The sequence below is a fragment of the Homo sapiens genome, chromosome 5 (genome assembly GCF_000001405.40).
Source record: "Homo sapiens chromosome 5, GRCh38.p14 Primary Assembly".
NCBI classification, from domain to species: Eukaryota; Metazoa; Chordata; class Mammalia; order Primates; family Hominidae; genus Homo; species Homo sapiens.
In genome coordinates, this window is record NC_000005.10 from 131,866,102 (window position 1) to 131,878,363 (window position 12,262).

General features: G+C 41.2%; 1 protein-coding gene across 1 annotated transcript in view; it reads right to left on the reverse strand.

Moving 5' to 3' along the window:
- The window catches only part of MEIKIN (meiotic kinetochore factor), a 138,674-nt gene that overhangs the window by 59,112 nt on the left and 67,300 nt on the right, over positions 1 to 12,262 (reverse strand). The gene's annotated exons all lie outside the window — the stretch shown is intronic.

Sequence of the window (12,262 nt, forward strand, 5' to 3'; positions counted from 1 at the left end):
GGCCAATGGCAGTAGCAGTGGTAGGAAAATCCACTGGAACTCAGTCAACTGTGTTGGTGTTGGCATGGCTACAATGGGTTGGGCAGGCTGGTTTCCAGATCTGCAAGTGGCACATGCTGGTGAATGCCAGCTGTGGTGGTAGTGGCAGGTTGATTGAGCCTGATCTCAGACCCTGGGAAGAGTGCTCAGGTGCAACCAATGGTGTACCGGGCTGGGTGATCTTCAGACCCCTGGATAGTGTCCTTGGGTACTAGGGGAGGTAGAGCCAAGCTAGGTTGTGCCTTTAGGCCCCCTCATGGTGTGTAAAGATGCTGGCGGTGGCATGCAGGGGCAGAATGACCCTGTGGCCATTGGCAGAATGCTCAGGTGGAGGCAGCAGCAGCTGTGCTGTGGCCCTGCAACTGGGAAGAGTGGGGTTGCTTCCCCCGGGAACAGCCATAGGCAGGAAACTGAAAGGGACTGGCTTCATCTGAGCCTTGGCCTAGAGCAGGCAGTGGAATTTGTCTTTGGAGTGTGTGAGAATGCACAGTTGCCCCTCTGTGGGGGTGAGGGAATAGGATTGCTGTCTGTGGCTGCCTCTTCAGCCCCAGGAGGGAGGGAAGGTGAGAGAGCAAGGGAGAATTCATGGAACTGACAGTATGCATGGAAGCAGGAGAAGGACAGGTAATCATGAGGAAGTGAAGAAAAGAAAATGTAGAAAGGATGGGGAAGTTTTTTTATTGCTTTTGGCTAAAGAAGTGAAATTCAGGCCAAGTTCAATTAGATCTCTAGGCCACAGAGAATTCTAGTTGCCTATTGAGTTAAATTTAGCTATCCTCTCTTCCTCCCCTTCTTCATTCCCATTAGTCCTCAACAATGATACAGTATATCTCATCTTAAAAGAAAAAGCTTCCTATAACCCTGCATATTCATCCAGTTACCATTATTTTTCTCTATTTCCCTTCAGAGTCAAGCTCTATAAATAACTGTTACTTCCTCACTTTCCATGGTCTTCAACCCATTCTAATCTGGTTTGCCTCTCTTTAGTCTGCCAAAATTTTTCCTACCAAAGTCACCAGTTTCCTTCATGATTCCAAATTCAACTGACTTTTTAAAAAAAATTAATGAATTTTATTTTTTAGGTCAGTTTTGGATTCACAGCAAACTTGAGCAGAAAATATAGACTTCTCATATATCCCCAGTCCCCATACATGTAAAGCCTCTCCTGCTATCAACATCCTATACAATAGTGGTCTATTTATTATAATGAATGAACCTACACTGACACATCATTATCTCAAAAGTCCACAGTTTACCTTAGGGTTGGGTTCACTCTTGGTGTTGTATATTCTGTGGGTTTTGACAAATGTATAATGAGATGTACCCACCATTCTAATATCATACAAAGTAGTTTCCCAGTCTTAAAATTCCTCTGTAATCTGCCTATTCATCCATCCCTTCCTCCTAACCTCTGGCAACCACCAATCTTTTTATTGTCAACATAGTTTTGCTTTTCCAGAACATCATATGGTTGGAATCACACAGTATGTAGCCTTTTCAGTCACTTCTTTCACTTAGTAATATGAATTTAAGTTTCCTCCATGTCTTTTCATTGCTGGATACCTAATTCCTTTTCAGTGCTAAATAATATTCCATTGTCTGGATATACCACAGTTTATTTATGCATTCACCTAATGAAGAACATTTTCGTTGCTTCCAAGTTTTGGAAATTATGAAAACAGTTGCTATAAACGTTCAGGTGCATACTTTGTGTGGATACAATTTTTCAATTCATTTGCATAAACACTAAGGAATGTAATTGCTGGATCATATATGAGTATGTTTAGTTTTTAAAAATCATGAAACCATTTTCCAAAGTGACTGTATCATTTTGCATTCTCAGCAGCAAAGAATGAGATTTCCTATTGCTTCACATCCTCCAGCATTTGGTGTTGTCAGTGTTTTGGATTTTGGCCATTCTAATAGGTGTGTAATAATAACTCGCTGTTGCTGTTTCTGGTTTTTTTGAAACAGAGTCTCACTCTGTTGCCCAGGCTGGAGAGCAGTGGCATGATCACAGTTCATTGCAGCCTTGACTTCCCAAATTCAGGTGATCCTCCTACCTTCACTTCCAGAGTAGTTATGACTACAGGCCTGCAGCACCATGCCAGGCTAATATTTTTTAGTAGAGACAGGGTTTTGCCATGTTGCCCAGGCTAGTCTTGAACCCTGGGCTAAGGCAATCCACTTGCCTCAGTCCCCCAAAATGTTGGGATTACAGGCATAAGCCACAGCACCCAGCCACTCATTGTTGTTTTAATTTGCAATTCCAATTGCCTAATGACATATGATGTTGAACAACTTTTCATAAACTATTGCCTTTTGTATATCTTCTTTAGTGAGGTGTCTGTTCAGGTCTTTGGCCCATTTTTCACTGGGTTTTTCATTTTCTTATTCTTGAGGGTTTTTGTTTGGTTGGTTTTGTTGTTGTTGTTGTTTTTATTTTTTGAGACAGGGTATCACTCTGTTGCCTAGGCAGCAGTGTGCAGAGGTGTGGTCAGGGCTCACTGCAGCCTTAACCTCCCAGGCTCATGCGATCCTCCCATCTCAGCCTCCCGACAGGGATTCTGTCTCTACAAAAAAAAAAAAAAAAATGTTGCCCAGGCTTGTCTCAAATTCATGGGCTCAAGTGATCTGCCTGCCTTGGCCTCCCAAAGTGCCAGGATTACAGGCATGAGCCACTGTGCCTGGCCCTTATTGTTGAATTTTAAGGCTTCTTTGTCTATGTTGGTTTACAATCTTTTATCAGATATGTCTTTTGCAAATATTGTCTCCCAATCTGTGGCTTGTTATCTCATTATCTTGACATTGTCCTTCATACAGCAAAAGTTTTTTTATTTTAATGAAGTCCAGGTTATCAATTATTTCTTTTATAATTGTGCCTTTGGTATTGTATCTAAAAAGTCATCACCATACTCAAGGTCACCTAGATTTTATCCTATGTTATCTTCTAGAAGGTTTACAGTTTTGCATTTTACATTTAGGTCCATGACCCATTGTGATTAATTCTTGTGAAGAGTATAAGGTCTGTGTCTAGGTTCATGTTTTTGCATTTGGGGGTCCAGTTATTCAAGCACCATTTGTAGAAAATACCAACTTTTCTCCATTATATTGCCTTTGCTCCTTTGTCAAAGATCAGTTGACTATATTTATATGGGTCTATTTCTGGGCTCTCTCTCTATTCTGTTCCATCGATCTGTTTGTTTATTCTTTTACCAAACCCATACTGTCTTGATTACTGCACCTTTACAGTAAGTCTTAAATACAGGCAGTATCAGTCCTTTGACTTTTTCTCCTTCAATATTGAGTTGGCTATTCTGTATCTTTTCCCTCTCCATATAAACTTTAGAACCAGTTTGTCTACCACATAGTTCCCCCAGCAGGTTAGGTTCTGAAAAATACTTTCTCCTGAGGCCAGGCCTTGTTACAAAAAACAAAAACAAAAACAAAAAAACCCGAATATTCTCGCATTCTGTTTCACATAGTTCCTTTCTCTTCCCACTGCTAGAAGCATGAGAGGATTTTACTCTAACATTTACTATGAAGACCTGATGGCAGAACTCCTGGAAGTAAAACTCACAAAAGTGGCAGGGGGACCACCTACGACTCTCAGATTTGTCCATATTCAGCCTCCAGCAATTCATCAACACTGTTTAGGTTTTCCTACCCTGGCAATGGTTCCCATGGAGGTTTCTGTTCATGGGTTTCTGTTTTGGTAAGTTGTGATTCTCTGTATCCTCCTGTCTGTCTCTTCAATATTTGGTGCAGCAGTTTTCTCTATGACCTTACTTCTCTGATGAACTCAAGAAAAACTGGTGACTTTTCAGTTTTTTCAGCACTTTACTTGTTGTTAGGACAAAGTGATGACTTCTAAGATTCTTACACTGCTGCACTGGAAACTGGAAGTCCTACAATTGACTTTTAAATTCCTTCCTAACACAAAGAAACAATAAACTCTTGAGATGATGGATATCCCATTTACCCTGATTTGATTATTATGCATTTGTGTGCCTTTATCAAAACATCACATGTACCCCATAAAGACATACAGCTATTAAGCACTCATAATAATTAATATTTTTAATGTAAATAATCAAAAATAACATAGACACACACACAAAAAAAGTCTTTATAATACTGGACCTTCAAGCAGCATTCAACACTGTTGACCATTTCCCCTTTTCTGGGTGAAATGATTTCCTCTCTTGATTTCTATGATACTATGTTCTGTTTATTTTTCTCCTCTTCTCCACCACTCTTCCTTTTGAACCTGACGATGGAGTTTTCCAGGGATTGACCTGGGCCCACTTCTCTTCCTTACTCTATAGATACTATTTCCTAGGACATTTCGCCCGTTTCCACGACTTAAAAAAAAATTATAATACAGTACATCTGTTCCCCTGACCTCCAGATTGATAGCCAATGGCCTTCTCAACATTTCCATCTTCATGCATTCTCAGAACACCTGTCTTTCCTATCACACTAAATAGCATCTTTATCCACTAAAGATGCTCAAAACGGAAACCCAGAAGTCTTTCTTAACATTTCTTATTCCTTCATCATTTGTATCCTATCGATCAACTCTACAGGCAAAATTATCTTGAATACATGCCTATTTCTTGATCTCTCCTATCAAACACCCTAGTCAAAGCCACCACTATAGGTCACCAAAAATCTTTGTAACTCCCTACTAATGGGTCTCCCTATTCACCCTCTTGCCCCTTTTCTATTTGCTCTCTAATTCCTTACAGTGACAATCTAGTGTAGTAGAAAGAGTATAGGCTTTAGATCCGGAAAGACCTGCCACAACCTCCTCAAGAAACTGATGAAAATCTAAACCTCAGTTTTCTCAGCTATAAAATAGGTAAAAACAGAAGGAGGAGCCAAGATGGCCGAATAGGAACAGCTCAGGTCTACAGCTCCCAGCATGAGCGACGCAGAAGACGGGTGATTTCTGCATTTCCAACTGAGGTACCCGGTTCATCTCACTGGGGTGTGCCAGATAGTGGGTGCCGGACAGTGGGTGCAGTGCACCGTGCGCAAGCCGAAGCAGGGCAAGGAATCACCTCACCCGGGAAGCACAAGGGGTCAGGGAATTCCCTTTCCTAGTCAAAGAAAGGGGTGACAGACGGCACCTGGAAAATTGGGTCACTCCCACCCTAATACTGCACTTTCCCAACTGGCTTAAAAAACGGCACACCAGGAGATTATATCCCGCACATGGCTCAGAGGGTCCTACGCCCAGAGTCTCGCTCATTGCTAGCATAGCAGACTGAGATCAAACTGCAAGGCGACAGCGAGGCTGGGGGAGGGGCGCCCGCCATTCCCGAGTCTTGATTAGGTAAACAAAGCGGCTGGGAAGCTCGAACTGGGTGGAGCCCACCACAGCTCAAGGAGGCCTGCCTGCCTCTGTAGGCTCCACCTCTGGGGACAGGGCACAGACAAACAAAAAGACAGCAGTGACCTCTGCAGACTTAAATGTCCCTGTCTGACAGCTTTGAAGAGAGTAGTGGTTCTCCCAGCACGCAGCTTGAGATCTGAGAATGGGTAGACTGCCTCCTCAAGTGGGTCCCTGACCTCCGAGTAGCCTAACTGGGAGGCACCCCCCAGTAGGGGCGGACTGACACCTCACACAGCCGGGTACTCCTCTGAGACAAAACTTCCAGAGGAACGATCAGGCAGCAGCATTTGCGGTTCACCAATATCCGATGTTCTGCAGCCACCACTGCTGATACCCAGGCAAACAGGGTCTGGAGTGGACCTCTAGCAAACTCCAACAGACCTGCAGCTGAGGGTCCTGACTGTTAGAAGGAAAACTAACAAACAGGAAGGACATCCACCCCAAAAACCCATCCGTACGTCACCATCATCAAAGACCAAAGGTACATAAAACCACAAAGATGGGGAAAAAACAGAGCAGAAAAACTGGAAACTCTAAAAATCAGAGCACCTCTCCTCCTCCAAAGGAATGCAGCTCCTCACCAGCAACGGAACAAAGCTGGACGGAGAATGACTTTGACGAGTTGAGAGAAGAAGGCTTCAGATGATCAAACTACTCCGAGCTAAAGGAGGAAGTTCAAACCAATGGCAAAGAAGTTAAAAACTTCGAAAAAAAATTAGACGAATGGATAACTAGAATAACCAATGCAGAGAAGTCCTTAAAAGACCTGATGGAGCTGAAAACCACGGCACGAGAACTATGTGACGAATGCACAAGCCTCAGTAGCTGATGCAATCAACTGGAAGAAAGGGTATCAGTGATGGAAGACGAAATGAATGAAATGAAGTGAGAAGAGAAGTTTAGAGAAAAAATAATAAAAAGAAATGAACAAGGCTTCCAAGAAATATGTGACTATGTGAAAAGACCAAATCAACATCTGATTGGTGTACCTGAAAGTGACGGGGAGAATGGAACCAAGCTGGAAAACACTCTGCAGGATATTATCCAGGAGAACTTCCCCAATCTAGCAAGGCAGGCCAACATTCACATTCAGGAAATACAGAGAACACCACAAAGATACTCCTCGAGAAGAGCAACTCCAAGACACATAATTGTCAGATTCACCAAGGGTGAAATGAAGGAAAAAATGTTAAGGGCAGCCAGAGAGAAAGGTTGGGTTACCCACAAAGGGAAGCCCATCAGACTAACAGCTGATCTCTCGGCAGAAACTCTACAAGCCAGAAGAGAGTGGGGGCCAATATTCAACATTCTTAAAGAAAAGAATTTTCAACCCAGCATTTCATATCCAGCCAAACTAAGCTTCATAAGTGAAGGAGAAATAAAATCCTTTACAGACAAGCAAATGCTGAGAGATGTTGTCACCACCAGGCCTGCCCTAAAAGAGCTCCTGAAGGAAGCACTAAACATGGAAAGGAACAACTGGTACCAGCCACTGCAAAAACATGCCAAATTGTAAAGACCATCAAGGCTAGGAAGAAACTGCATCAACTAACGAGCAAAATAGCCAGCTGACATCATAATGACAGGATCATATTCACATATAACAATATTAACTTTGAATGTAAAGGGACTAAATGCTCCAATTAAAAGACACAGACTGACAAATTGGATAACGAGTCAAGACCCATCAGTGTGCTGTATTCAGGAAACCCATCTCACATGCAGAGACACACATAGGCTCAAAATAAAGGGATGGAGGAAGATCTACCAAGCAAATGGAAAACAAAAAAAGGCAGGGGTTGTAATCCTAGTCTCTGATAAAACAGACTTTAAACCAACAAAGATCAAAAGAGACAAAGGAGGCCATTACATAATGGTAAAGGCATCAATTCAACAAGAAGAACTAACTATCCTAAATATATATGCACCCAATATAGGAGCACCCAGATTCATAAAGCAAGTCCTTAGTGACCTACAAAGAGACTTAGACTCCCACACAATAATAATGGGAGACTTTAACACCCCACTGTCAACATTAGACAGATCAATGAGACAGAAAGTTAACAAGGATACCGAGGAATTGAACTCAGCTATGCACCAAGCGGACCTAATAGACATCTACAGAAATCTCCACCCCAAATCAACAGAATATACAGTCTTTTCAGCACCACACCTATTCCAAAATTGAACACATAGTTGGAAGTAAAGCACTCCTCAGCAAATGTAAAAGAACAGAAATTATAACAAACTGTCTCTCAGACCACAGTGCAATCAAACTAGAACTCATGATTAAGAAACTCACTCAAAACCACTCAACTGCATGGAAACTGAACAACCTGCTCCTGAATGACTACTGGGTAAATAATGAAATCAAGGCAGAAATAAAGATGTTCTTTGAAACCAACGACAACAAAGACACAACATACCAGAATCTCTGGGACATATTCAAAGCAGTGTGTAGAGGGAAATTTATAGCACTAAATGCCCACAAGAGAAAGCAGGAAAGATCTAAAATTGACACCCTAACATCACAATTAAAATAACTAGAAAAGCCAGAGCAAACACATTCAAAAGCTAGCAGAAGGCAAGAAATAACTAAGATCAGAGCAGAACTGAAGGAAATAGAGACACAAAAAAACCCTTCGAAAAATTAATGAATCCAGGAGCTGGTTTTTTGAAAAGATCAACAAAATTGACAGACCGCTAGCAAGACTAATAAAGAAGAAAAGAGAGAAGAATCAAATAGATGCAATAGAAAATGATAAAGGGGATATCACCACCGATCCCACAGAAATACAAACTACCATCAGAGAATACTATAAACACCTCTACGCAAATAAACTAGAAAATCTAGAAGAAATGGATAAATTCCTGGACACATACATCGTCCCAAGACTAAACCAGGAAGAAGTTGAATCTCTGAATAGACGAATAACAGGCTCTGAAATTGAGGCAATAATCAATAGCTTACCAACGAAAAAAGTCCAGGACCAGATGGATTCACAGCCGAATTCTACCAGAGGTACAAGGAGGAGCTGGTACCATTCCTTCTGAAACTATTCCAATCAATAGAAAAAGAGGGAATCCTCCCTAACTCATTTTATGAGGCCAGCATCATCCTGATACCAAAGTCTGGCAGAGACACAACAAAAAAAGGGAATTTTAGACCAGTATCCTTGATGAACATTGATGCAAAAATCCTCAATAAAATACTGGCAAACTGAATCCAGCAGCACACAAAAAGCTTATCCACCATGATCAAGTGGGCTTCATCCCTGGGATGCAAGGCTGGTTCAACGTACGAAAATCAATAAATGTAATCCAGCATATAAACAGAACCAAAGACAAAAACCACATGATTATCTCAAAGATGCAGAAAAGGCCTTCAACAAAATTCAACAACACTTCATGCTAAAAACTCTCAATAAATTAGGTATTGATGGGACGTATCTCAAAATAATAAGAGCTATCTATGACAAACCCACAGCCAATATCATACTGAATGGCCAAAAACTGGAAGCATTCCCTTTGAAAACTGGCACAAGACAGGGATGTCCTCTCTTACCACTCCGATTCAACATAGTGTTGGAAGTTCTGGCCAGGGCAATCAGCCAGGAGAAGGAAATAAAGGGTATTCAATTAGGAAAAGAGGAAGTCAAATTGTCCCTGTTTGCAGATGACATGATTGTGTATCTAGAAAACCCCATCTTCTCAGCCCAAAATCTCCTTAAGCTGATAGGCATCTTCAGCAAAGTCTCAAGATACAAAATCAATGTACAAAAATCACAAGCATTCTTATACACCAATAACAGAGAAACAGAGAGCCAAATCATGAGTGAACTCCCATTCACAATGGCTTCAAAGAGAATAAAATACCTAGGAATCCAACTTACAAGGGACGTGAAGGACCTCTTCAAGGAGAACTACAAACCACTGCTCAATGAAATAAAAGAGGATACAAACAAATGGAAGAACATTCCATGCTCATGGGTAGGAATAATCAATATCGTGAAAATGGCCATACTGCCCCAGGTAATTTATAGATTCAATGCCATCCCCATCAAGCTACCAATGACTTTCTTCACATAATTGGAAAAAACTACTTTCAAGTTCATACGGAACCAAAAAAGAGCCCGCATCGCCAAGTCAATCTTAAGCCAAAAGAACAAAGCTGGAGGGATCATGCTACCTGATTTCAAACTATACTACCAGGCTACAGTAACCAAAACAGCATGGTACTGGTACCAAAACAGAGATATAGACCTATGGAACAGAACACAGCACTCAGAAATAATGTCGCATATCTACAACTACCTGATGTTTGACAAACCTGACAAAAACAAGCAATGGGGAAAGGATTCGCTATTTAATAAATGGTGCTGGGAAAACTGGCTAGCCATATGTAGAAAGCTGAAAATGGATCCCTTCCTTACACCTTATACAAAAATTAATTCAAGATGGATTAAAGACTTACATGTTAGACCTAAAGCCATAAAAACCCTAGAAGAAAACCTAGGCAATACCATTCAGGATGTAGGCATGGGCAAGGACTTCATGTCTAAAACACCAGAAGCAATGGCAACAAACGCCAAAATTGAGAAATGGGATCTAATTAAACTAAAGAGATTCGGCACAGCAAAAGAAACTACCATCAGAGTGACCAGGCAACCTACAGAATGGAAGAAAAGTTTTGCAATCTACTCATCTGACAAAGGGCTAATATCCAGAATCTACAATGAACTCAAACAAATTTACAAGAAAAAAACAAACAACCCCATCAAAAAGTGGGCGAAGGATATGAGCAGACACTTCTCAAAAGAAGACATTTATGCGGCCAACGGACACATGAAAAAATGCTCATCATCACTGGTCATCAGAGAAATGCAAATCAAAACCACAATGAGATACCATCTCACACCAGTTAGAATGGCGATCATTAAAAAGTCAGGAAACAACAGGTGCTGGAGAGGATGTGGAGAAATAGGAACACTTTTACACTGTTGGTGGGACTGTAAACTAGTTCAACCATTGTGGAAGTCAGTGTGGCGATTCCTCAGGGATCTAGAACTAGAAATACCATTTGACCCAGCCATCCCATTACTGGGTATATACCCAAAGGATTATAAATCATGCTGCTATAAAGACACATGCACACGTATGTTTATTGAGGCACTATTCACAATAGCAAAGACTTGGAACCAACCCAAATGTCCAACGATGATAGACTGGATTAAGAAAATGTGGCGCATATATACCATGGAATACTATGCAGCCATAAAAAATGATGAGTTCATGTCCTTTGTAGGGACATGGATGAAACTGGAAACCATCATTCTCAGCAAACTATCGCAAGGACAAAAAACCAAACACCGCATGTTCTCACTCATAGGTGGGAATTGAACAGTGAGAACACATGGACACAGGAAGGGGAACATCACACACTGGGGCCTGTTGTGGGGTGGGGGGAGGGGGCGAGGGATAGCATTAGGAGATATACCTAATGCTAAATGAGGAGTTAATGGGTGCAGCACACCAACCTGGCACATGTATACATATGTAACAAACCTGCACATTGTGCACATGTACCTACAAGTTAAAGTATAATAATAATAAAATTTTTAAAAAAAGCAAAATTATGTAATAAAAAGTTGAATTTTTTTTAATGATTAAAAAAGTAGGTAAAAACAAACAAACAGAAACTAACTACTAACCTGCCTGGAATACCATAAACAAAATATATAATTAATGAAAGCTACTCAAAAAGTAGCTCTTGCTATATACAAAATAAAGTCCAAATTTTTCCCTAAAGGCCTCCAGATTCCAGCTGGGCATGATGGCTCACACCTGTACCAACACTTTGGGAGGTTGAAGCGGGTGGATCGCTTGAACCCAGGAGTTCAAGGCCAGCCTGAGCAACATGTTGAAACCCTGTCTCTACCAAAAATATGAAAATTAGCCATTTGTGGCAGTGTGTGCCTGTAGTCCCAGCTACTAGGTAGGCTGAGGCAAGAGAATCATTTGAGTCTGAGGAGGTCAAGTTTACAGTGAGTGGTGAGAGAGCCACTGCACTCCAGCCTGGGTGACAGAGGAAGACCTTGTTTCAAAAAAAACAAAAGAAAACAAAAAAAGACCCCGATGCCATGCCTAACGTAATGATTCATAAGTAATCTTCAGCATTATTCAAAGGAAAGTTGGAAAAAATGTAAAGCACACTGGTCCCCGCACCCTGCCCCCCAGTCACCCATCCACAGTTTTGTCTACCACAGTTTCAGTTACCTGTGGTCAACCACAATCCAAAATATAAAATGGAAAGTTCTGGAAATAAACAATCTGTAAGTTTTAAATTGCACACCATTCTGAGTAGCATGATGAAATCGTGTGCCATCCCCCTCAGTCCAGTCCACTCTAGGATCAATCATCCCTTTATCCAGCATATCCATGATAGACATACCATCCGCTCATTAGTTACTCAGTAGCTGTTTCAGTTATCAGATCAAAAACATGTAGTATATATAGGGTTCAGTACTATCCACATCCACTGGGGGTCTTGGGATGTATCCCTCACAGATGAGGGGGGACTACTATACATTTTCATTCTCTTTCATTAAACTTATATAGAGTATATACTCATTTATAAGCTGCATAGCTTTTCCATAAATTGAATAATCTATTTGATAAACTCCCAAAATGCTTTTAATTATTGACTTAAATAGCTGAAAAGGAATTCCTATAAAAGTATTGGTTGGCTGGGCGCGGTGGCTCACGCCTGTAATCCCAGCACTTTCGGAGGCCGAGGCGGGCGGATCACGAGGTCAGGAGATC